Here is a 27,695-nt window from a genome sequence, read left to right as displayed (position 1 = left end):
CCCTCTCACATAGTTTCTGCAACAGCAGAAATTTATGTAAGAAGTTGCAAGTGAGGCCCTGGAAAAATACAAAGTGAAAAAAAAGTCATTGAAAACAAAAATAATTTAAAGAAAAGCAAATTACAGAGTCAGAGTTTAAAAGAGGCTAAGCTGTCAAGGCTGGAGGAGAGTAGAGGCTTCTTTCTATTTATCTCAGCCTGCATACTTACTACTTCCGAGGGAGCAGGAACAGCAGCACCTGGCAGTCATGTGATAATACCTGTGAGACAAGCAGTGGTCCTGCCATGGCTTTTCCTCTGAGAGTAAATAAACCCACTCGCTTTAGAACTTCCCCACAGCTTTGATCAGACTGATAGCACTGTGACATCTTAGGGAAAATATAATCAGAGCTATATTGAGAGCACAATGACCAGAGTTCTATTCCAATTTATTCCTATAAAGCAATTCTGGCTTTAAACTTTTACTTGACAGTGTGAGTGTATTATATTCAGAATTAATAAAAATTTTGAATACAGTGAACAAGATTACTTATCTGAAATAGTTCATTTCAGTAAATTAACTATTCAGAGGAGAAAGAAAATGTACTCCTGATTGTCTCTTTATGCCAGGGGTTGTCAATCAGGGCTATATATTCGAATCACATGAGGGTGCTTTGAACACGTATAAAAATATTTGCCCCAACCCCCACAGATTCTAAATTAAGTAGCCTGGGTGTGCCCTGTCCTTGAGTAAGTTTGTTTTAAATCTCCCCAGTTCATTCTTACTTGCAATTAATATTGGCATCACCTGTTTAGTGTATTATGTCCATTAAAATTACTGTAAATTAAAATGATTTTTGTCAAAATCCCTCACCACACTTGACTCACTTGCTGTTAATCTTTAAAAAAATAAAATACAAGTAAACACTGGGCAAATGATGAGAATGTAAGTATTTTGTGAAGCCCACCTTTGTACAACTTTCAACCTGGCTTCTGCGGCTTCAGAAGCCACAGACTCATACACATCTGTATTTCCTACAAAGACAGACTAGTAAACATGGCTTTCTTAGCTTCAGACCTAATAGAACCTGATTGCACAGATCACTTCAAATCAACTCTAGAGCCACGGAGTCTTATGCTGGGCTGGGCTTAATCTAGATTTCTAAGTGGTTTGGGACAGCAAAAACAAACAAACAAACAAACAAAAAAACAGTGGCATAGTCCCAAGAGTGGACCATCTGAAATAGAATATAAATCTCCCTGAGTTATTTAGCTTAGTCAGAACTAGGAAGGCAGATTTCAGAGAAAATGAAATTAGATAAGGAACTCAGTACTGGGCAATGTCAGTGGACAAGATAGTCTGCTATATAAACCATGTTCCAATCTATAGAAAAAATGATACTTCAATAAGCAGCCCAAAGCTTAATTAAGGATGACAGAACATGCCTACCTCCTTCACTTTTGCCATACAGTGAAATAATACAGTGGGATGTGCTCAAATTTCAAGAGACCAAATTTTCTCCACTATTATGCCTCCTAAAGTACACCACAGAATTAGCCAAGAAGATTTTTCACTTTCAGTTTTATTAAAGACACATTGTTTTAAATTCTACCAAAGACAATATTCCATTGAATAGTCTAATTGTTTTGACAGGGTGATAAGACTGTAACCTCTGGCAGTTAAAAAGAGAATGATGACTTAGTAAGAGTCAGAATCTGAGGTAATATCTCTCAGTTCCAAATATTTAGAGGGGAAATGGTTTATTTAAACCCTTGATGTATCACTGGAATCTGTAAATCTCATTAAGTAGAAAATCTCCACAGCCTGGAATACTAAATTTCTGCACTGTCAGGATGCCCATTCTCTGCAGTGTCCTCTGGACCCAAGGTGACAAAAATTTTTGTAAGGATATAGAAAAAGAACTCACAGTGCAGTGTAAGGCCGTCATTAAACAAAGATGTCCAAAAATTTTTTAAATGTAATTAACTGAAGGAAATTAACAGACTAGCTTCCCTCATCTCAGTATCCTAAACAGACTCTAGAAACTAGCTTTCAAAAAATCAGGTGAGTGGTATTTTCAAGTTCCATATATATCTTAATTTCACATTTCCTTGTCTTTTTCTGTTCATCATCCTTCAGATGGAGAACACAAGAACATCCTTAAATGAACACAAAACTTCAGCCTTAAATAAATTTACAGAATAAAATTGTTGAAAGTACTGACAGTCAAGATAAATTTATTCTGAGCTTGGAATAAGGTAAAATGATAGATTCTTTTTGATATCATGTAAGAGTATTTGTAATAAGCCAGTCTGACATTTAGGGAATGCCACAGTATATCTGACTAACAATTCACAGCAGAACAGTGCAGATATTTTATGGCCCTGTGAGTTTAGAAGTTAACCTGCAGAAAATGATGAGCCATTAAGAATTTATAGTCCAATAGAGAAGTAACTCCGAAAGGTTAAGTACCCATTGCCCTGTAGAAAGTTATCTTATACTTAATTTAAAATTTTATTTTGCAGTCCCTTTCAACTGATTCTATTAATGCTGCTCTGCAAATGCTCTTAGAACCAGCTCCGTGTCATCCTGCTAGTTTCTTCATTATTAATGTAAGTTTGGCCTGTCCTAACAACTTTAAGAATTGTGCTTTTACAACAGCAAGAATAGATGCCACTACCTAGTAATTATATTTTAATGTAATCCTCTGACCTGTTCCAGGGAGTTACAAAATCAAATGCCTACGGGGGCTAGAAAGGTAAAATATAAAAAGCAAGCTGAATATAAAATGATAGAAAAGCAGCAGCTCATGTTGTAGTCGTTTTAATATCCGCCTGGTAACATTGTTTTTCAATCCCTTGTGCTGGCAAAATAAAAAACAAAACATTTGCAATTCCAGTAGTGGAGCCTGTGAGTCAGCGTTTAGTGTCATGCTTCCTCAGCCTATTTAAAATATCCTGGAGCATAACTAAAAGCCATAAAGCCTAACTAGCCCTCAGAGCACTCGTGAAAGTCAGATTCACAGAAGCAGAAACGTAGAGGTCAGTGTACATCATTCTTCCTCCATACTTCCCCCACACCTTTGGAACTTGTAAACCTCAAAATGCTAGGGGTGTAACCTCCTCATAAACCTACTCAAGACAGATTATATCACACTTTCCTCTATTTTTCCGCAGCTCTTTATGTCTTCCTAACAAAGTGGATCTAGTTTGGAATTGTTTACAAAGCCATCTTTCTGGCTGAAATCCAAGCACAAAGCCTAAGACAAGGATATTTGTGGCAGCTACTCAGAATGGCTTCTGGAACTAAATTTTAATTTTCTGCATAACCAAGTCCTTCAATAAGAAATAACATGACAGGAAAAACCAACTTAACCTGAATCCGCAACCTAGAAACAAGTTCTCTGACCACAGATAGAGCTTGACTGGCTCCTTGGTACTATGATTCCTAGTGTTACAGACACATGGAAAACATCACCTCAGCAGTTTATAGAAAATAGAGCCATTACTGCGTCAATGATGGACTTCAGAGTTAAGCCTCAGGGGTGCCAGAAATTTGAGGTTTATCTATAATATTTACCTCATTCTTATATAGGTACCAAGAACTTACCTGTATTGGTACTTTAGAACACCAACTGTAGAGTTAGAGCTGGAGAAAGTTACAGCATAAAAAGTAACTTAATGCAATGACTTTAAACTTTTAAGTTCCTAAGAATCCACCTCCAGGTCTAAAACATGTCCAAACTGCCAGGCCTCACTCCAGAGATGATAATACATGTGAAACCCAGACATTTCCATTGTTAGTTAACAGCTGATTCTGATGAAAATGAACTGAGGCATATTATTTGAAAAATACTTTCTTAAAAGACTGCCTATCCAACTCCTCATTTTACAAATGAGAAAGATGAGGTCTAAAAAATACAGTATTTCCGGCTCTATCGGCCTTTTAGTTAGACAAACACTATCAAGACAGGCTCATCAGCTCTTCTGGGTTCACTGAAGTAAAACCAGAAATTCAGGAGTTTTGATTTGGTATCAGAATCTCTGATACACAGTCTCGGTAAATGAAGAACTATATCTGGAATGGGTACCTCTAATACAACCTGGGCATGGAATAACTCTCCAAGAAATCAGTGCATTCTCACAGAAGGGAAAAGTTACAAATATTTTCCTTCTTCTTACAGACCTGAGATTAAGTGTATACCTTTTATAATATGTTGCTCTAGGATTTATTTCAAAGTCATGAGCATGAACTAGAGAGAAAGAAAGGTTGCTTAAGGTACTTATTAAATTCATTGGTTTGTAGTTATATACATGATACCAGGACTTCCATCGAGACTGTCCTCTATTACCTGCGTCATGGAGGTGGAGCTGCTCCTCACTCTCTGAGAATGGAGGAGTCCTGGGCCTGTGTCTCCTTTTTCTGTGCTCACCTTGCCCATGGTCCCTCCCATATACAACTTCCTTGCAGTGAAGCCCTGCTTTTTGTGAGGACTTGGGTGAAAGTCGATCTTGGTGTCGAGACTGTTTTTCCCAATTTCGAGTCTGATGGTTAATCTTAGTCTCCCAGTCATCACATTCAGTGCTCAGAAACACTTCACCACTGATCGTGGGAAGCAGAGGTCTCCGAGGCCTCTCCTGAGTGGACCGTTTCCTTTCATGCTGCTCATTGTTAATATGGGGATTGTCCCTCCCTTTGCCCGAGCTAGAGGATGACAGGGATCTCTTCGATGAACAATGTTGTTCTGGCTCTTCCAAGTTCTCCAGTGGATGTTCTGGTTTCTCTTTCTTGTGCTTCACAGTCTTTCCATCTCTTTGGAGTCTACAAGGTCTTGAGAATCCAGAACCCAATTCCCTGGCCCTCCTTGACCCTGGTTGGTCTGAGTGGAGGCAGAGGGATGTGAAAAATAAAAATGCAGATTAATTTAATGAGAGTTATGAACTCACTACACAGGGGGGAGTCTGGGCTCCAGTTTAACGTACTTTAAAAATGGAGAAAATTGCTTTTTCAACTTAAATTGAGAAGAGGGGATGAGCATTACTGAAACAGTTCATGCATACCTAAAGAATTCTGGGTACATAGCCAAAATGGTAAGAAACTAAAGTGAAACAAATGTGAAAGAAGAGCTTGATCACGATTAGGTAGAGCTAACAACACTTTAATATTTGCCAATAACAAAATTATAGCCATTAAACATTAAGTTCTATTTATAAACCAATTTGAAACTAGTATAGAGTAAAAAGTAGAGGTTGAGGAATCTTGTAAAACAAAAAAATTAAGCTTTGTAATTTCAGACAGAGGCTTTCAAATATTCTTACTGGAAATGCCAATAAAACTATCAGAATATTGCTAGTTTCTCTTGAGTTCAGAGGAATGATCCACAGATTTTTATATGCCTCCATCTGCCCACTTTATGTGGCCAAAGCAAACATACCCAGTCACTTCAGAAATTAGCCCTCTATTACAGTTCAATATAAAAGAGGATCAAGTAGATGAGAATTTTGAGTTCATGACCCTGTTATCTGTAGATAATTCTGTTCTCAATCTTAGTTGAAACTTGGCAAAGGAAAAAAATTTAAAGGGTTGCCTTGATGGAATATATAAAAAGGAGTCGCTTCCTAAATACATTTCAAAAAACTGTATGATATTGTATTCTTTGTAGAAAAATATAATATATGCTAAGTATATGTCCCCAAATTTAATATAAACTTCAAAAACAGCACAAAAATAATTCTTTTTCAGGTCTTTTTTAGGCACAAGTATAATGTGAAGACAAAGGCAGCAAATGCATATGCACTTTATAAGAATATACTGATTTTAACATTTTCTAAAACTTTTACTACGTTTTGGAAATAACAACGAAAAATCCCAATTCCATGGAAAATTGCTATGAAAGCTAAGATTCCCCGATGGAATTAACCACTTGCTGAACTGCATTTGAAAGAGCTACCGTAAGTTGATGAGATGTAAAGAAAATAAAAAACTATACGTTTTCCTTTAAACTGTTTCATTTGATATTAATCTGTTAAAGGAACAGAGCAAGAAAGAGGTATGTGCTAAATGTACCAATTATGTAAGTTTCCATTAAAAACCTCAAATTGTTTCCTCTTGTGCTTTCCAGAAGAAAAGAAAGCTTGCTTCCCAAGACAATACTAAATTAAAATTTGTTTTCTAAACAGTCTGTAGAAGTATTTATCTTCATCATTTATGGGTAAGTTTTATTTTACATAAAATCAAAAGCAAAACAGAAGAATTACCCGGTGATAAAAACAAATTATCTGCTCTTTTAAATAAACTATTATTTTAAGACTATCGTGACAACATGAGAATCAAGTGACTACTGCTGTAAATTTATATAATACAGACCAGCCACTTAAATGATGACCACATCCGGGGAACAATGGTTTACGGTGTTAATAAAAATGTGCTCACTCAGAGTTGCACAAGTGAAGTCCACCTTCCAGCTCAAAATAAACAAAAAGAATTGGGTTTTGACATGAATTTGTGATATTATGATTTTTAATTCCTTCTAAATAGTTAATAGATATTCATAGTTTTACTTTTAGGAAATATGCTGCAGGAATTATTACAGAGCTGTTACTACATTTTTACAGAGCTGACTGAAAAAGTTTATTCTCTAATAATAAATTTGCTGTGACAGCTTTAAATCTTGGAAAGAAAAAGATAATGTGAGGAATCTATCTGAATGCTTTAAAACCTCATACAGTTGAGGACTGAGACCTGTATGTTTCTTGAGACCAAGTTATTTGGCAAATATAACTTACTCCCTCACTGCCAAAACATACATAGGTATTATGTATTGGCATATACATAATATATATATACACACACACACACATATTTATACACATATATATCTGCATTTTATATGAGTGCCTCCATGTTTGGCTTTCAAAATAAGATACACAAAATATTACATTATACACATATAACACCGATATATGTATAAATAAGTACTTCACCAAAATTGCATTATTTGATCTTCTCAAATCCAAATGAAGGATTTACTTTTATAATCTCCATTTTATTTAGTACGTAACTTCATTAAAATTAATATTGTTCTTAGGAGGGGACAGGACTTGAACCACAGTCCTATGACTCCAAAGACCACAACTTAAAAAATCACTAATATGACTTCAATAAGTGGCTTTGAAAGAAAAACATGGATTCATTAATAAATAATATATATCATTTGAGTTGATATAAATTTGACAAATGTTTTTATACAATTTCAAATTTGTAGAAAATCCATAATCATTCTAATAGATAATGTATTAAAGTTTGAGTTAAAAGTTGAAAAACTGACCATTTCTGTAATGATATACTGTGATTACCGTGCAAGTAAGGCAAAAAATCAAATAGATATACAAAGGCATACAGAGAAGTACAATGAAAGAATATCCCAGGTGTGTTGGAAAAGGACCACTGCAAAGACCAGAAGGATTATTTTGTAAATATGAGCTGAACTATAATATGGTTTCTGTGGAACTGCACTTGGTCTAACACAGGGGCATATTAATGAGGACTCCATGTTCAACAAAACATAACCTCCCAATAACAACACAGCTGAGGCAAGAGAAATTTCAGTATTTACATACACATGTTCAGGAGGTCACCACTTCCTGTTCCTCAAAACTCCCTCAAAGTCTGTCTCTCCCCAAAGAAACAAGCATATACGCCACTCTCTACAAATTTATCGGAGTAATTAAAATAAATATAAAATACTTTTAAAAGCTTTTATGTGTCCCTGAAAAACCACTTAATTCTTAACATAGTCTCCTGCCCTAGAGAAACAAATCAGAATGACAGCACTCTGATCAAAAAAACAGGTTTGAGTCTCAATTCAAGTCAGTATAAGGCTTTAAGAGGGGAATGCTAAAATTAACAGTTTAATGCATTTAATTCCTTGTCATCCTAATGTTTTTACAGACTGAACAGTTTAAAATAATAACGTTTACAGTGAATATACCTCCAAAGCAGACTTTTTAAAAAAGGGAAAAACACCAGGCCACATTTCTAAGATTTAAATTGAAGGTGAAGAGTAACACTTTGCTTTCTGATCTTTAGTACAGCAAAATGTGGCAATAATTTTTCTTTTTAAATGACATAACATATAGATTCATCAGAAAAACCAGCATAAAGAAAATGGCTATCAAAAAAGAGAAGAGTGTTTTACATACAGAGGAAGAACATATCAAGCAATAAATTGTGAATCAGCCTGCTTACTAAAAAGGCTGAGCTCTACTGATTATGGTAAATTTAGAGCAAAAAATGTTACTGGGCAAAATTATACTCAAACTGTAATAATCCCATTATCTACATATACACTGCTTTCATTCTACTCATCAGAGAAACACATATTTACCTTTTATAATGGAATTACAGAAAAGCAGTTGATGACTGGTTTGCAAGGCCCTTCAGGATCACTGACCTGAAATTCTTGACTCTCTGAAAGTTGCCTTTAGGTTTTGTTCACTTGTGATCCTAAGTATTGGTCTTCAAGCTGAATTTCATTAAATACTGACACTTGAAACTACAGGAAACATCTTTCCTTTGACAAGTCTTTGAGAAGGACTCGACAACACTTGCAAATACTCATTTCCCAACACATTTTTAAGATAAAGAATCACCACAACTGCCACCACCACACCATCACCATCACCATCACCACCCTGCAAAGCAGGCACCAGAGAAGCGAAACTGAGGGAATCATCCCCTCAGAAATCATACTATATGGTAATCAAATAGCAAAGAAAGGATCAAAAGAAAAAAATGAACATGGAAATCTTAAAATTTAATATTGTTTGTCATCAGCAGGCTAAACCATCGGCCTAGGTTTAAAAGGCAAGAAAGCACAGAACAAAGCTTTGTTACCCAGTAACTGATGCATGGTATACCTTCTTTCTTCATACCACTTTCCTGCTTCAAACAGTACTTTCCAGACTTCTTGAGAAAGGTTAAGTCCAGAGACTCATCGACCATTTTCCACACCCCATTTATGTGCTTAGATTATAATAAAGCATTCCAAGTCGCTAAAGTTTAAAAAGAATGCATGCCAATTCTCATAAAATCATATTCAAATTTTAGCCATCATGAAAGTGGCTCTGGTTGTCCAACTAAAGAACAGATAAGGCCGGGCGCGGTGGCTCACATCTGTAATCCCAGCACTTTGGGAGGCTGATGTGGGCGGATTACTTGAGGTCAGGAGTTCAAGACCAGCCTGGCCAACATGGTGAAACCTCGCCTCTACTAAAAATACAAAAATTAGACAGGCGTGGTGGCACATGCCTGTATTTCTAACTACTTGGGAGGCTGAGGGAGGACAACTGCTTGAGCCTTGGAGAGGGAGGCTGCAGTGAGCCCAGATAGCACCATTGCACTCCAGCCTGGGTGACAGAGCAAGACTCCATCTCAAAAAAAACAAAAAAAAAAACAAAAAAACAAACAAAAAAAACCACCGCATGTTCTCACTCACAGGTGGGAATTGAACAATGAGAACACATGTATACAGGAAGGCAAACATCACACACCGGGGCCTGTTGTGGGGTGGGGGGAGGGGGGAGGGATAGCATTAGGCGATATACCTAATGTTAAATGACGAGTTAATGGGTGCAGCACACCAACATGGCACATGTATCTATATGTAACAAACCTGCACGTTGTGCACATGTACCCTAAAACTTAAAGTATAATAAAAACAAAACAAAACAAAACATGAATTTATTAGATTCAAATAGAATCCTGCCACACATCTAAATGTACCCAGTGCCTGGGGATAAGAGAAACAGTCCCAGGTCCCTAAGGTCACTTTATGAACAAAATTAAAGGAGTGTTTTATGGTTGAGTCTAAGGATAGAATAGATCATGATGCAGGAATTGTTACCTCCATCTTCATAATAGTAACTATCTGCATAAGCACGGGTTGCAGGGAACTCTGGAAAGTGTTTCTTTCTCTTTTTCTCTTCCTGTAACTCCTTTTCTTGCAAAAGGCGAGCTATGTCCTGCAAAGACAAGAGGAGAATGGAAATACACATTACCAAAGAACAAACAAACTCCATATGGTGGGGCTTGACATTCCACTGCCAAGTTTGTATGTGCTCTGTCCATGGCTCTCTAGACTTTCTGGCATTAATTTCATGTCTTCAAATGCCAGATGACTGCTTAACAGGAGTAGCACATGATCTAGATAAGTGAGACAGGCTTTTTTAATTGAGATTTAAATCCACCACAACATGGAAGACATTCAAAACTCAGTACTTCCTAAAGCAGGTTACACAACAGAATTTTAAAAATATGTATTTGTGGGCCCTCTTTCCAAACTGATGATTCAATAAATCTAGATTGGGCAGGATGTAGTAATCTACAAAACTTTATAATTTAAAAACTTTTGAAAAGAATTCTTATGGAGATTTTGATTTAGCTTTGCATTAGAATACCACTGTCTTAACCAAAAAAGAGAAAACAATCTTCCTTCTGTCTCCCACCTGTTCATCCCCAGGCAAATTTTTAGCAGTCATTAAGTGAGAGGCACTGTGAGGGACAGAATGATGAATAACATTCCGTAATGTTTCCTAAAAGATTATCATCCCTTTATGAACACAAAAGTTTCATAGAAACTTTTCAAAAAAAAAAGTAACTACAATAAAATTAAATTGTAAATGCCTCAAAAAAATTTCCACGGGAGTACAAAAGAGGGAATACTATTTTTGCTTAAAGGAATTAGTACAAGATTTTGCGTTGTGTTAGGCTTTGAACAAAGAACTGAATTCCGACAGGCAAAGTTGAAAAAGAAAACATCAGCAGAGTTATGAACATTTTAATGAGCACCTATCTAAGGTTAAATTAGAACATGAGATACGGAATGTTGTAGAAAAAGCTGAGGCTAGAAAAACAGTCTAAGGCTGGATCACAGGAACTCCTTTTAGACAATCTTAAGAAGTCTGGAGTCTGTTAAAATAAGGGGATGGAGGATTACTAAAGGTTTTGAGCTGCAGAGTGACAATGTTCTGAATCTGAAGATTACTTCTATGAAAGCCCCATAAAATAGCCTGTAAACTTATATGTTCATGCACACTTTTAAGGAGAGAAGTCAATAGCTATCATCAGATTCTTAAAGGCTCATACAAATATGGGAATAATACTCACTGGTACAAATGGTAATAACAATCATTGGTAATTTGAGGTACTTACTTCTTTATATTTATCGTTCATAAGGAATACAAGAAATATTAAATGTTAATGTTATAAATTTAAAGAATTACTATTCTTCAAATTTTATGAATAGGTGCGAATGAAGAATACCCTCAGATGGCAATATAAATTTCAAAAGAAAATTTAAGTGAATTAATTTTTTTCACATCTATGCAGAAACAAGCTGGATGCTCATTCTAGGTAAATTAGCAATATTTATCCATATCCTCAGCTGTTTTTTACTATTCATCCAAATAGCCTTACAAATCTGACTTTATGCCAAATACAAACTTAAAATACACCATTAATACACTTTTAACTGACACATATATACGTATTTTTTTGATAAGTAATCTATGTAAATGTCCATGCAATAGTTTCAGACACTTAAGTGAGCACTCACAAAATGATGCAACTCAGAGGGAGAGGTAAAAGATATCATAATCCTACTTAACATAAGTATACTTTTCATGAATAGAACTCTGAGTTTCTAAGACTTTGATGGAAAAACTATCTCCTAAATCTGAAAGTTAAAATTAATCTCTTTTCCAGTTCAAGTCAGACATGGTTTAAAGAGACATTGGGAGAGAAATAGTCACTACTGATATAAATTTGGGGGGAACTTCAATTCTTTATCTGTACAATAGAAAGTTTGAACTATTCAATCTTAAAAAAAAAGCCAAATGTCTTTGACTCCTTAATGTATCATTTCAACAAATGTGTCTACCAGGTGCCAATCCCTGTGCCAGATTCTTTAGCTTTAATATCTTACAAAGTAATCTATCAATCAGGAAGAGAGGAACGGGACAGATAGCCTATTCTCCAAAAAACTATTATTTGTTACAGAAGAATTTTCCAAATTTCTATAATGTTTACTACAGAAGTAGAAAGAAACGTAAACATTTCCTTGAACTGTATGTTTACTAAGCACCCAAAACTATATTTTCCTACGTGGTTTGCTTTACAGTAAACAAATATTTCCCCTGCTATAACTGAGGAAAAAATATAAAGGAAAATTATCAGGTCCAACTTCCAGAAGAAATTATAAACTATGCTCCACAGACCTGGTAGACACGGCTTTATTAAAATGATAAATTAAGTAGTCAAAGACATTTGGCTTTAAGATTGATTAGTTCAGACTTTCCATTGTACAGATAAAGAATTGAAGTTCTCCCCAAAATTGGTATTAGTAGTGACTATTTCTTTCCCAGTGTCTCTTAAAACCGTGTCTAACTTGAACTGTAGGAGAAAAGAGATTCATTTTAACATTCGGAGAAAAGAGATTCATTTTAACATTTGGAGAAAAGAGAGATTCATTTTAACATTGAGATTTAGGGGATAGTTTTTCCATCAAAGTCTTAAAAATTCAGAGTCCTATTCATAGAATTGCTTATAACTGCCCTCTTGCTACTGAATTTAGTCCTAATGGAAGCATAGTAATACGCCACTCTCTCAGTGTAAAGAACCAGGAGAGAAAAAAGAATTACAGCCCTTCTTTGTAATGCATTAGCTAGTCAAAGAAAGTGCTTTTAATCAAGTAAAAAAATAATAATAATCATAACATGTCATGCACCTTAGCACCCAAACCTTTTTGCTCTTCTAAGCTCTCAGCTCTTTTTTGAAAGAAAAGGTCTACTAGGCTTGAGGAAAGAAAGGACAAAAATTCAATGGAAAACTGCCACTATATTATAGCTGAGGTTTAGCACAAGTCCGTTCTCCTCCCAGCTTTCCAACATTACTATGCAATGAGTTTTGTCAGATAATTTCAGTGTAAAGTAAATCCCCCTGAAACAAGCTGACGATGGCAATTATCAGTCACAGTACTTGGATGTAGCTAACCAGCTTAGTCACCTTTGATATAAACAATCTCCTTGGTCCTCAGCTTCCTTCCTGTTAATGATAAGTCTAGAACAGCACTTCCCAAGCCTCTTCCTGAGAACACTGGCCTCAAAACTTTATCCAAAAAAAACACACCTTTCAATAGAAAGCATGCAGCATATATAACTCTTTAAGATGCATATTAGCACATTTTAAAACTTTAAAAGAAAAAAAAAACCTGTTATCTTCCAGTAACCTATAATTTTCCAAATTTATGACAGAAGCTTCTGTTCACATTTTAAAAAAACTCAGGTAATTAATGTTCTACATAACTTGGGAAAACAAATCTAAATGAACTCTTAAGCTCTTTTAAAGTCATTTTTAATTACATTTTAATTAATGAGATAGACTTCTGGGCTAATATGTAAAAACAAACCTGTTCCACAGAAGACTTCCTAGTAAATACATTAATTGAAATGGGAGTTTACCATTGTATCTCACCTTTCCCTTCTGTTATCCAAGCTCACCCAACTCTGGAAAATTTGAAACCATAACCATAAGGAAGGAAACAGTTAAGGATCTCTAGTATACTAGAGAAAGGTAATTTTAATGAAAACATAGATTTAGTGATTCCCTTCAGTGGGCCAGACGTGTGCCCTGTGTCAAATTCTTTAGCTTTAAAGAATAGTGCTATGAGCAGTAGGGGATTGATAAATATCATTAACGTTCTTATCTTGCTTTTAGTAAAACAATTAGCATAATGTAAGAAATGAAAACATGGCTCTATGAGAAGCATTAATATAAACAAGGTGCAGTGGCACCCAGAGGATCCCCACACATCTTTCCCAAGTAGATGACAAGTAACTGAAACATGGTGTTGGCTTCCTTAGGGTATTTCTGTCATTTACAGGTTGAGCATCCCAATCCAAAAATCCGAAATCTGAAATCCTCCAAAATCTGAAACTTTCTGAAGCATAGACATGATGCTCAAAGAAAATGCTCATTGGAACATTTTGGAATTTGGATTTTTGGATGCTCAATCTGTATATGATTTATATCATTTAAATATATAAGGGATGGAGGGTTATATCATATAAATGTATAAGGGATAGAGAGTTACTTCTCAGCGTTTCACCTCTATCCTCCAATGGCAATGAGTTTCAAAAAGAGGAAATCTGGAGTTTAAAAACAATCAAAAGGTGATTTTAAAATGTGACTGTCAAATGACTGTCAGAGAAAAAAATCGTTCCATTTAACTGCTAAACTTCTCTATTAACTAGCAATTAACATATTAACATCTAACTCGGCAGGGATGTCAAGGCAGGTATAAATCCAAAAGGTTTGTTTGATAAAACAGGAAAATACCAATTCTATGGATGTAAAAACATCAGTATAATAGTGTAAGAAGAGAGGAAGACTTCAACAAGAAGCCTCCCATCTCCCTTTCTAGTCATATTTATAATACTTAAAACACAGGAAAATTTTTAATAGCTAAATGGTATTACTGTTTGATCTAGCCTCTAAATATTACCAAAGAATGTGTAAATATTCTTTTAGAACATGAAATTCTAATCTTTTTAAAGAGTGCTATGTGTAAGTACCATGGCTCATACTAGATTCATTTTTTCAATGTGAATTGGTTACTAGGTTTATCCCTGAGCAGTTTATACTATAAAGGGCTTCAAATTGTTAAACTAGTGCCACAAACTTTTCATGACATGTTTGGCCATGCTAATATTTATTTAAGGAAAAAAAAAAGTTTTTCCTTAAAATAGTTGCACATTCACATATATTTTAAACCTAGGTTTAAACACACACACACATCTAGTCATGCACATAAGTACACACACACTTTTAGAGTTTTAGTTAAGAATAACTAAGTTAAATTAACTGATTAACCTTAACCCATTTTTATTAACCACTAATTCACAGAGTCCAGTATACCCAAAGTCTACAAGCTCCTTCCAACAGGGAGCCTAGGGAGAACTACCATATTCGAGAAACTATGTAAAAGAGTTAAAAATAAACAGAGACAGAAGAGCAAGACAGAGTGAGAGAGCAAGAAAGTGAAGAAGAGGAATGAAGGGAGGGAAGGTGAGGAGTTCTCAAAGCTAGAAAGACCGAAAAAAAAATTTTTTTTTCAACTTTTCCACATCTGTGTCCTGCATGGAAATGCTACTTTCCTTACATCTGTGCTTTGTTAACAAACATAATAAAATTATACCATGACAAAGCTAGAACTGCTAATTTATACACGCAAGGTTGTATAACTCCACCACATCTGACACACAATGTTGTTCAGAAAAAATTAAAAAAAAAAAAATCTCTGTTCCAAGAGAAAAGGGTTCTCAGTCTCTATATCTGGTATTTTATGGGGTGGTAACTAACCAGGAAAATTGACCCCAAAAATCTCTTAAAGAGATTTGGGTGGAAACCCAGAGAGAGATTTTCCACAGCCCTGCTGCTGCTAAGTCCTTATTAACCAAGTAGACTCTACAGGGAAGCAGAAGAGCATTGAGAGGGAAGGGGAAAAAAAAAAAAAGGAGGCCGGGCGCGGTGGCTCGTACCTATAATCTCAGCACTTTGGGAGGCTGAGGTGGGCGGATCACAAGGTCAGGAGATCAATACCATCCTAGCCAACATGACGAAACCCTGTCTCTACTGAAATACAAAAAATGAGCCGGACGTGGTGCCAGGCGCCCGTAGTCCCAGCTACTCAGGAGGCTGAGGCAGGGGAATCGCTTGAACCCAGGAGGCAGTGGTTGCAGTGAGCGAAGATTGCGCCACTATACTCCAGCCTGGAGACAGAGCAAGACTCTGTCTAAAAAAAAAAAAAATAAGAACTAAGAGAGTTCATTAGTCACAAGCAATTCTTTTTCAAAAATTGGCCGGAAGAGTTAGCACTACTGTCTCAGTATTAGTTTCCTCTCCCTTTCAGGCACCCTGTTACCAACAGACTAAAATAAATAAGCATTTTCATATATCCCTCAATGACAAACTTTACTCACGCAAATTTTCTTCATTTAATATTGACAACATACTAGACAGCTGAGAGTCACATTTTTCTACCTTGGCACAGTAGCCATCTTCTCATCTGAGGCATGAGTTGAAAAGTCAAAAAGTCTGAATGAAGTTTATATAGGCTTGTCTGGTCAACACACCTATACAACTGGATTTCTCATTTAACTTTTCCACTCTACTGAGGGCAAGCTAGTGGGAGACCTGTAATGACACGTGTGTAAACGCTTGAGGACCTCTCAAATCACACCATACTGAAACACACTTAAGCCTGTTTAATTTTGCCCTAGGCAGCACATATCTCTCTATAACAGAAATCAAGGAAAGGGCAATTATAAATTTAACATGTACCAGGTGCCCCAAGTACCTGATCTCATTTACCTCACAACAGCCCTTTAGGGTATGCACAACTACTATGACTCAACCCATTTCGGAACCTGAGGTTCTGCGTGGTTAAGGGCGGTGCTGAAAATCACCAAGCTAAATAGTTAATGAGCTAAAATTCAAACCCAGGTGAGTGTAACTCCAAAGTCCACATGTTTCATGTATACCACAGTATGTCTAAGTCAGAAGCAGTCAGGAGACCTGAATTGTACAGACATTTCTCTAGCATTTTATAACTTGGAATCAGTCACTTACTTCTTTAATACTTAATTTCTACATCCGAAAAATGGAGTTAATCACTAAACTGCTAATTTTATATAGTATTACCATGAGATTACTTACTATGATTACTATTTAGATTCTACATAATTAAAATAAAGTGTTTTATTTTCTCTTTCTATCCTGTTTTTCTCTAAACGGAGAAAAAAAAAAAACCCCACAGGACAGCAGTAGCATTTATAAGAAGCCAACTTCACTACTCTGGTATTTTTTAAATAGAAGCTTTCCTGTCTACAAAATATAATCACTTCTTTTAGTTCCCAGTGTCATCCCCAAAGCAAAGTCTTCACTATAAAGAGGCAACACATTAAATACTAAGAAAGCGCCTCCTGTGTATTACAGGAAGTATCAAAAATAATCCCTAATTTTTACTTGCAGCTCTGATTATCACATGATCATGATTTGTTTCTTGAAGAAACAACTCAATACTCTCATACCAGGTGTTTCACATTCATCTGGCATTGAACAGAAGTCTTACAGGAACAAGAGTGGCTCAGTAGGAGTAGCAGTGTATGTAGGCTGTTTACTGATGACCCTGATCATATCTATTTAACATGATGATCATAAGTGCCAGTTTGCCCAGTGTAGTTTCAGTTTATGTAATTAACACCATGCTTATAACCCTCGAAAGTGTTTCTGGGTGCTTAACAAACCATATTGTTATCCAACTATTAAAAATAATAAATCATTTGCTTCTCTATTATAAATCAAGACAGTGACCAAGTACAGCATAACAGGTGTGAAAGCAGGGTAGCATAGAAATGATGTAAAATGAAATAAATTGTTCATAAGAAGTGCTGAAACTAAGCTGGGCACAGGGGCTCATGCCAGTAATTCCAGTGCTTTGGGAGGCTGAGGCAGGAAGACAGCTTGAGCACAGGAGTTTGAAACCAGCCTGGGCAACATAGTGAGACCTCGTCTCTACAAAAAAAAAAATGTTTAAATATTAGCCAAGTGTGGGCGCGTGTGCCTGTAGTCCCAGCTACTCAAGAGGCAGAGAGGATCACTTAAGCCTGGGAGGCGGAGATTGCAGTAAGATCACACCACTGCACTCCACCCTGGGTGATGGAGCAAAACACTGTCAAAAAATAATTTAAAAAAAGGGCTGAAAATAATAACACAAAAGGAAATAATAGCTGATGGTAAATTCAAGTCTTCTCACAAACCAAACACTATTAGTAATTTTAGTCATTTTCAGCCTTAAAAACACTATGACTTAAAAATATATACAGAATCAAACTGATTAGTTTTTTTTAACCAACAGATCAGAGGAAAGGGAAACCTTTAAGAAAAAGAGAAAGAACGAGAGCAATGCCTGCTCCTGGCCTCTCCCAAGGACTACTCCCTGGCTCCTGTGCAGGCCCCACTCAAAAGTCTGCTCTCTCTAATGCTGCAAGAACAACCCAGGGACAGACACCTTGTAGTAAGCTGAATAGTGTGCCCTCTCTAAATTCATTTCTATCCAAACCTCAAAATGTGACCTTATTTGGAAACAGTCTTTGCAGATGTAATTAGTTAAGCTGAGGTCATACTGGATTAGGGTGAGTCCTCAATTCAATGACTGATGTCCTTGCAGGAAGACAAGAAGACACAAAGATACAGACAGAGAATAAAGCCATGTGACAATGGAGGCAGAGACTGAAGTGATGCAGATACAAGCCAAGGAATGCCAAAGATTGCCAGGAGTCAGGAGCTAGGAAGAGGCAAGGAAGGATCCTTCCCAAGAGGTAGCGTGACCCTGCCAACACTTCAGATTTTAGACTTCTAGCCTCCAGAACTCTAAGACAATAAATTTCTGTTAAGCCAAGTTTGCAGAGTAATTTGTAACGGCAGTCATAGGAAACTAACTCACATCATATGTGAAATTATCCATTATCTCTCAAGACTTTTACCATTTACATAATCAAGAGGCTATAAATCATGGTCCACAGAGGAAAATGCAGCCCAAATAAGAGGCATTCTGCTTCCCATTCAGAAACCCTTCATTGAGCCCGTGACCTACAGAAAGTTTTTGCTCTAAAGCTGAGCACCCCTTTCTCCATGAGGGAGAGGGGCAGTAACTAAGTTATACCTCATCCTTCTTCTCCTGAATGCGTCGTCTCTCTGCCTCAATAGCCAGCTTCTCCTGAATTTCCTGAGCAATTTCACAGTCTTGTTGTTCACTAAAAAGCAAAGGTGAAAACATGAATAAGGAAAATAAAAAATAATGTATTTCCTAAAAGTAATAAATACAATTTATTGAATACTCACTATATGAGAAGTACATTATTTTTCTCACTTTATCTTCAAGATAAAGATGCAAAGAGGCTGACACGGTCACATTTACAGATGAGAAAACTAAGGTCCAGGGAAGTTGCATCATTTTCTCAAGATCACAACGAAAATATGTGGTAGAACTGGAATCTGATCATCACACCCAACAATGGAAAACTCCACACCTCTTCTATACCACCTATCACTTCACCCCACTGGGGCCTGTTTGACGGTCCTGCCTCTACCACTAATAACCACAAATCATTCTCTGTCATGCCATGTTATAAGCTATAAAAAAGTGTACACTTAGTAACTTCACATTACAGGTCTAATATCATAGTATTCTTATCTATTCAAACCAAAGAAATGAAAATAAACAAAAATCTACTCAGACCAATTGCTATTTATATTTCTTCTTTTCCTTCACTCATTGTAATAATTAAGAATCATACACAAAATCACGGACTTAGTTTTCAAAAGCCTCTGTCTTCATTCAAGCCTCTACCTGAACCTCCCAAATTAATGTAAAATCTGTATAGAATTAATTGACTAATAACTACATTGGATGTGATAATAAGTGGGAAGAAAGTAGAAGCACCGTAGAGAAGGCAAACCCAAATGAAGTGTTAAAGGTCACAAGTGACACAGAAGATGTATCTCCTGGTACAGAAAATAAATAAGTGAAGCTTCATCTGAGTTTAATGATTTCAAACCATATTTCCAAGAAGTACCATCTCTGGTTCAGTCAGCTAATTATACAGACTCCTGGGAAAGCGAAACTGAGAAAGCAGTAGTAAACAAGCGGTAATCCTGACTTACGGCAGCCCGGGTATCCAGACTGAATAAAAGGTTCCAGTTCAATGAAAACTGCAGCATTTCATCCTTCCCAAGATGTACAGCTATTAAAATTGCCAGGGAGTGAACTGAAAGACTTCCCTTCTAGCTTACTTATTTCATCCAGGAACAATTTCAAAACCTTGAAGTCTCAGGCAGAAATATAATACCCGGTTCTTCTCTCCTTTAGGACCTATAAAATATCACTCTCTACTCCTGATTTATATTTGAGTGGTTTGTCTTGATAATTTCTGAAAAAGCTCATTATACTGTTATTAACCTAATTCAGGATTTTAAACATCTGCATCAACCTCAGAACTGGCCTTTCTAACAGAGAATTGTGAATAATGTAAAGGGCAATGAATTTAGAACTCTAGAACATTCTAGCTTTGGTTCTCACCTTAACCTGTGACACTGAGCCTCATAACATCTCAAATATCTCTCCTCCTCTTTACATCTCCATTACCATGACCTTCAATTTAGGCCTCATCATCTCCTTCCTCTCTGTCACCACTGTCCTCATTCAAGCCTCACCATCTCTTAATTTGACCATTGCTCAACAGCTGCCTTCAAATCTTGCCCACTCCAAGCCTTTACCCACCTAGTCTACAGAATAGATCCCAAAATGAAAATCTGAAACTACTTCAAAGGTTCTCCATTCCTTATAATTTAAAATCTACAAAACCTGAAATCTTTAACATAACTTATCGTGACCCTTTTGATCCAGCTTTTGACTACTTTCCTGGCCTCACTTCCTACTTCTGCCTGTAAATACACTCTCCACTCCAGCAACACTGAACTTCTTGCAGCTAACGTGAGATTGATTCCAAGTCCTCTTACCTCCTGCCCTTATGCATGCTGCTCCTTCTGGCTAGAATGGTTTTCCCCATCACTATAAACTTCTAATTAACCTTCAAGTTTCAGATTAAACACATCGTCTTGTGAAGCTTTTCCCAGTCTCTTCTCTCTAAATAGGCCTGAAATTTACATTTCAATTCTCTGTGACTCATGCACGTATCTCTAGATACACAATGCTCAAGGTGTTTTCCTGAGGCCCTTAAAGGCAACAGCTGTCTTATTCATATCTCTGGTCTCCTTTCATGGTGCCAGATTTAGCATGAATCAATAAAAGTGTTTATTTACAAAATAAGGGAAGCTTAACAAAATGATTAATAAAGTCCTCTCTACAAATAATAAACAGAAAGACAAACCCTTCCTATAAGTTAGCAAAAATGACTGGCTTTCCTTTTTACCTGAATATGACACTGAAGTAAATTAAGGGGTTCCTTCCATTTTTCCTTTACCCCTTCCTCCTCAACACAGTATCTGTGGTTAAATCTACCCACATTAAAGATTTAGGATGTAAGAGCCACTCTCAAAGAAGAAATGTATCCTGGGAGCTTTATAACACTGAAACAGAATAAAAGTCACTGTGCCAAAAGAAACCTGAGAAATAATCATTTCCGTTTATCTGTGTGTTAAAGGAGGCTACTAGAGAGAACTTTTGTCAGACACTGAAGTTATGAAAAAAACTGAGTCTACACTTCAGAGCTTTTCAGAACATTCTGCTATGTACTGAAAAGCAAGGAAAGTAAGAGCGGCAAACACAGCTAGAACATAGTAAAGGAACCAATACAACCCATAAAGTTATTTGATGTCCACTATTTCACTGGATCCCCCAAAGAAACTATGAGGCAGAGGGGACAGAGATTATTATCCGCATGTTATGGGTAAGGAAAATAAATTCAGAGAAGTTGACTAACTGGCCCAAGGTCATAACAGCTAAAAAATGTTAAAATTCACACCATCATCAACATGTCCTTAAACCTGGTCAAGTGCTCCAACAAAAACAAAACATTTTCAAATCAAAAAAACTGTTAGACATCCAGGGTAAGATTTGTAATCTAACAGTAGAAGGAATCAGAGGAACAGAAGTAGTCTCCTTCTCCCCTGCCCTGGTTGCTAGCTCCACAGAGAAAACCAGTCTTGCATCACCCCTCCCACCTCCCAAATCCTCACAGGTCTTTGTAGCGCTTCTGGAGCTGGGCCTGCGCTTTCAGATCTTCCTCTTGGAGCTGCTTAGCCACCTGGAGATCATGCTGGACCAAACGGTTCCGCTGAACGTTCGATGCCAAATGATGCTCAACTGGAACAAAAAGATTGAGGACAGGAATGAATAATGTCTTGGTTTGTTAGTAATAAATGCCATAATAATCTTAAGAGCTTTACCATAACAACAGCTTTGCATCCATCACTTCATTTTATTGTCTCAACAACAATATATAATAAAGAGCAAGGAATTATTATCCCCACTTTTCCATTAAGTAAAAAGAGGATCAAAAAGATTAAATAATTTGCCTTTGGTCACACGGCAACAAAGTGGCAGTGCCAGGACATCTACACAAATATTCTAAAGCCAGGGCCAATGCTCTTTCTACTACTACATGTTGTCACTCTATTTATTAACCGCATTTTTCAAAATGTCAATTTTATATTGATATGTGAATTCACAAATCATATATTCACAAGTATGTACTTTAATATAACATGCATAGCTTAGATTTACTTTTCATCACCACATGGAAAAAAAGATTCAGAAAAATTCACAATGTGATCTCATTTATACCACAGTTGCCTGGGAAAACTGTTCAAGTCCCTATCCTAGGAGCAAGAATAGATTCCTTCTACGCACCCCAGATAAATCTACAACCATTGTGTCCCTCCTACAACAAGAGGCTAGGAAAAAGGTTCAAACCTCTCTTTTTCCTCCTACAGACGCAGCAGTCTACTAATTCCTGGCAGCCTATCTTACTTAACATGCCCGAAACTTCACTGATCACCCAGGCATCATTTGCCTAAAGAAATCCTTCAGGATGTATGGATGGTGAAGCCAAGTGACTGTGCTCTCTCCCCACCTAAGCCCTAAGAAACCAGCCTCAAGCTACCACTAAAAAAAGAAAACTGAAGGAGCATAAATGAGAGGTATTACTCACTCTCTTGTTCCTGCAGGCTGTGAGCCAGGGTGTGGTCCTCCAGGACAGCAAAATCTCGGCATACTAGAGTAGATGGAGGAAAAACAGACAGGAAGGCTCATTAGTAATACTTTAACATACAAAGGAAAGGATTTTTTTTTTTTACTTTAAAAAAAATCAATTCTAATATTTCAGAATGACACACTTTATAATTCTCAATGCATAAAATAGTGACTAGTTAAGTATGCAGTCTTTAGTCACAAAAATCTATAGTGCCTGCTTAGTGCCAAGCACAGGGTGTCACAAAATACTGGTTAGCCTTGGCCCCTGGCCTGAGGTGAGAACATTTACAGAATCAGATTCCAGAGGTCTAGAAATTCCAATCCACTTCTATAAATGGAGGGTTAAGTGCTGCTGAAATAACAGACGTATCAGTCATGCTTTGCATATTGCTACTGAGAGAGAACTGAGTTACTGCATAATTAGAGGTGTTAAAAGAAATCTAATCTATGCTTCCCTGTGGTTCAGACGATCCTCTCCCAGCAATTTATGTCTACCCTGGCGTCTTTCAAGAAAAAATATATTTTCACTAGTCCCTCAGGTAGGGGCAGAGCTCTACTTTAAAAATTCTTAATTTCTTAAACATTCTTCAGTGGGTCAATCCCCAGGGACATGAGTTAGAACTAGGTCTCTAGGTCCCTCTAAACCTTGGGCTGCCCCAAAATAATCTACAAACCAAAAGAAAATGGGAACCCTGAAGGAAACCAGGAATCTGCCCCAACTCTGCCTCCACCTGAAGAGCCAGGCAAGGGCATTTCCTGACCTGTCTTCTCAGAAGCAAAATGGGAAGAAATGGTCTTGAAGAAATGGTTTGGGGTAAACAATGGTATCCATGTTTACCCCAAGCTGCAATTTAAACTCCTGCTTCGTAAACATACAAACAGACAAAACATGAAGGATTCATCATGTAAAGTGCTGTTTTAAGGACGTGTAGTTTAGGTGATATGTTCTCACTCTATTCCAAGCATGTAATTCATGTTAAAAAAAGGAAATTCCCCAAAGCCTCAGATTACTGCAATTGAGTAGGACTCATGAAACATTCCCCAGGGCTTAGGAAAAGTGATAGATTTCTTTCCGAAGCTTTGGATTTGCCTATGAGGACACTTAACTGAAACAGAATGAAAAACGTTCCTTTGCCGTTCTTTGCACTTATGTATGTTCACATATACACTCAACATTAGTTGTGTCCTTCACGACTGAGGGATAATGCCACAAAAAGGGAGGGAGATCTTGGGGAGGTCAAGATTATTTTGAAATGGTTTTATAATGGAGGAATAATTCTTGCCCAAGAACTATATTCAACTGGATACAACCTGCTTAATCCTCGCTCAAACATAACAGCAAAACCAGTAATTCGAACAGAAAGCCCTGTTCTTTTTCATCAGCTTTTCATATTCTCAACCGATTCTAATATCTTGAAGCCCAGGTCCTAGTTACCTTATGTTTCACAGAATAAAAGTAGTTTCAAGATGAGCTAGATAACACCCTCATTTAATAAGTGAGGAAACTGAAAGCCAGAAGGAAGAAGGGGTTTTCTAAGGCTGTACAGAGTTCACTGGTGACAGGGCTTGGGGGTCAACATCTAAGCCAGCAAGAGCTCAAGAGCTCCTTCCCCTTCCCTGACACAATGATGGCCCTCCTTCCCTCCAGGTAAATCATGGTAAGAATAGACAGAAAGAAAATATTCTACATTAACCATCGCATATTCTCTAAAACACTTCAATTAATTAATATCTAATTTTTAAATGGGTAAGACATACACGGACTTAATTTACAAAAATTAATGAATTAGCTAAAATAAATATAATCAAATCTTGTGTAAAGAATGTTATTTTAATGTATTGACCTATCATTTAAAACACCTTTATTATACTGGAAAAGCTTGTGCTTATATATTAAAAGTCAGTCTTAATTTTAGATTAATTATGATTAGATCAAATTTAAGATTACTCTTAATGATTTTCAAATTATGGGTGGCAATCTATTATTAGGTCAAAAAATCAATTTACTAAGCCTGAGAAAGGCATTTTAAAAGTCAATAGTCTAGAGAATAACAGAGGACAGTTGGCTCTCATAGCCCTGAGTTTTGGATTCATGGATTAAATCAACCACAAATAAAAAATATTCAGGAAAAAAAAATGTGGCTGTACTGAATACATACAGACATTTTTTCTTATCATTGTTTCCTAAATGAACGGTATTAGGTAGTATAAGTAATCTACAGACAATGTGAAGTATACAGTAGAATATGTATGAATTATATGCAAATACTACCCCATTTTATATTAGGGGCTGAAGTATCCATAGATTTTTAGTATCCATGTGAGGTCTTGGAACCACCTCTACACCCCACCCCACAAATACGAAGGGACTAGTATAAATCACACACAGTACAGGAAACTAGTTTGGGGAAACTTTTCCCGTATTATATATAAACATCACAGAAATATATACATACAGAGATGATAGGTACTAGGTCAAAATGTAAAACACACATCATTCTATAGATTACAAAAAGCTTAAAAGCCACTTCAATTTATGTTATTAGGTCAGAACGTTACGCCAAAAATATGTTTTCTATGTTTCTAATACCATGCTAACTAAAATTAAAAATTATGAAATTATTACATTTTTCCATGTGGAGAATCATGTGAAGAACTACAATAATTTTAAAAATATTTCTTAACTTCAGTCAGCAGAACATTAAACATTAAAATATAGTTTGTAGATAGATATACCTATGGTTAAAAAAAATTTTTTTAATAATATGGCACTGACACAAACTTAACTCCAAACAGTAGTTCTCTCTCCAGAGAGACGAAGAGGGGCATGAGTGCCTTAGCTGCATGAGCCATTCTGCTTCAAAAGCAAAAAGAGAAAAGATACACAATAAGGCAAAATATTAACATTTGATGTGGGTGGTAGGTTCATGGGTTTTTCTATTTCCTGTGCTTTTTAAATGTCTTACATATTACATTTTAAGTTCTATAATTAAATTCACTTATTTCATGTTGTCAACAGCACATATTGCTAAACCATGAACATGAAGATATGGTTTGACACATTATAACAGGTGTGAGAAATTTCCGAATTGCTGATTACCTTGATGACTCCTCATAATGATTTCTTACTATCTCAACAGCAAGACTGAAGTATATTCTATTATTGCAATTTGTCCCTGAATCTGCAGAAGCTGAACTAGTACCCAAAAGATATGAGGAGGGCCTGAGCTAGAAGGGGATCTGGAAGATTTTCAATGATTATGAGGAAGTACATGAACACATACACACAGAGAGTTGTATTGTCAAATACACTGACTTTGCCCTTCGGAGGTTACTAGGAGTTTCCAAACATATAATCTCATTTATACTGAAATATTACTTGCCCAATATATAATTTCTTCTGAACCCACTCTAATTTTTTTCAAGATTTGCCTCTGTATTCCCTCCATCAGTATTCTAGCACAACCTGGAAAACAATCACATATTCAGTCAACTTTGTAAATCAGTAACCAGATTGAGAATTACTGAAACTATTTCACAGCCAGGCCACGCTCAGAGCATGAAGAGAACTTTTCTCCTTTTCTAACCTCCTCTGCCTTCGATGTAAACAGCATAAACAGCCTACTGAGGATAAACGGCATACACTCATCTTCCCACCTTTCTCTGTGGGCACATTTAAGGTGAACCACCTTTCACCCTCCCATTTCTCAAACTTTTTGCCTCCCATGTTCACCTTCACTCATTCAGAACTCAGGCTGACCTTCTTGCCGTAAGCCAACTCTATCAACATCTTCTACTAGTCCCAGTCTGCTATTAAAATGAGCTTCCCACCATAGTCAATTACACAACTATTCTTTGTTCCCACCAGATCTCAATGGTCCCGTAGGCTCTCCCCTCTGCCCAGACATTTTCCCAGTGTTAGGGATGGTGGCTAAGTCTCTTTTGAACATTAAAAGCCGTACAACTCTGCCTCATTGCTTAGAAGAGCATTAACAGAAAGAAATGCACTTTGCTCTGAAATTCGAGCACACAGCTGCTTCCCTATCCAGCTGCAAGCTCTTCATAGCAGGGACTTTGTGGGTGTACTTTCTGCACCTTCCACACAATGTGTGCTCGTTAATTGAAAGAAGTTAAAAAAAAAAAAATAAAGCTGGATCATAAAGTCAAACAAGAGTAGGAGAAAGGAAGAAAATAATGTCATAAACAGAATTAAACTCTGCTATTATGACAGCATAACACACTAATATGTCAAACATCATTTAAACAAATTTAGTAATAAACAAACTACATAAAACTAGAACCCTATCCCCATTCTCATTAAAGGAGTTTCAATATGTTAATCTAAATATAGGCATATCTTGGAGATACTGCAGGTTTGGTTCCAGACCACTGCAATAAAGCAAATATTGCAATAAAATGAATCACACGATTTTTTGGTTTCCTAGTACATATAAAAGTTATGTTTACACTATAGTCTATTAATATAGTCTATTGATAGTCTATTAAATGTACGATGGAATTCAGTCTAAACAGGTTATGTACATATCTAAATTTAAAAACACATTATTACTAAGAAATGCTTGCTACACACCTTCAATTTGTAAAACACATAGTTTGTCCAAAGCGCAGTAAAGCAAAGTGCAATAAAATGAGGGATGCCTGTATATACAGTGAATTAATTTACAATAGGCCAAGCAGGTCTTAGAAATGGAAAGGAGGACTGGCTGACATACATAAATACATACATATATATACCCCCCATCCATTTCCTTAAAGAATGATTTTCATTGAGTTGTTGATCTCCCCCTAAATACATGAATGGCATAGTATGCACCTAATCAACACCATTTACTCAATAAACATGTGTTGAACTCTATTTCAGGAT

General features: G+C 36.5%; 1 protein-coding gene across 3 annotated transcripts in view, besides 1 other annotated feature; it reads right to left on the bottom strand.

The window, feature by feature from the left end:
* CCDC50 (coiled-coil domain containing 50) overlaps positions 1–27,695 on the bottom strand; it is a 69,266-nt gene that overhangs the window by 18,740 nt on the left and 22,831 nt on the right. The window contains exons 2-7 of one of the 3 annotated variants that reach the window (XM_011512460.2): positions 22,770–22,832; positions 21,796–21,922; positions 18,761–18,851; positions 9,884–10,001; positions 4,331–4,858; positions 210–259 (exon numbers count right to left, since the gene is read on the bottom strand). In XM_011512460.2, coding sequence (XP_011510762.1) covers positions 246–259; positions 4,331–4,858; positions 9,884–10,001; positions 18,761–18,851; positions 21,796–21,922; positions 22,770–22,832 — 941 coding nt within the window. In that variant the 3' untranslated portion in view covers positions 210–245. The remainder of the gene's footprint in view (positions 1–209; positions 260–4,330; positions 4,859–9,883; positions 10,002–18,760; positions 18,852–21,795; positions 21,923–22,769; positions 22,833–27,695) is intronic. The other 2 variants (NM_178335.3, NM_174908.4) reach the window with 2 other exon arrangements.
* Positions 2,826–3,120: a silencer, noted in NCBI's record as "tiled region #6572; HepG2 Repressive non-DNase unmatched - State 15:Elon". NCBI's record gives its function as "represses a minimal TATA promoter and a strong SV40 promoter by Sharpr-MPRA in HepG2 cells {active_cell/tissue: HepG2}" and the evidence as "EXISTENCE:reporter gene assay evidence [ECO:0000049][PMID:27701403]".

Source organism: Homo sapiens, chromosome 3, assembly GCF_000001405.40.
Source record: "Homo sapiens chromosome 3, GRCh38.p14 Primary Assembly".
In the NCBI taxonomy this organism is placed as follows: Eukaryota; Metazoa; Chordata; class Mammalia; order Primates; family Hominidae; genus Homo; species Homo sapiens.
This window is presented reverse-complemented; position numbering and strand designations above follow the sequence as displayed.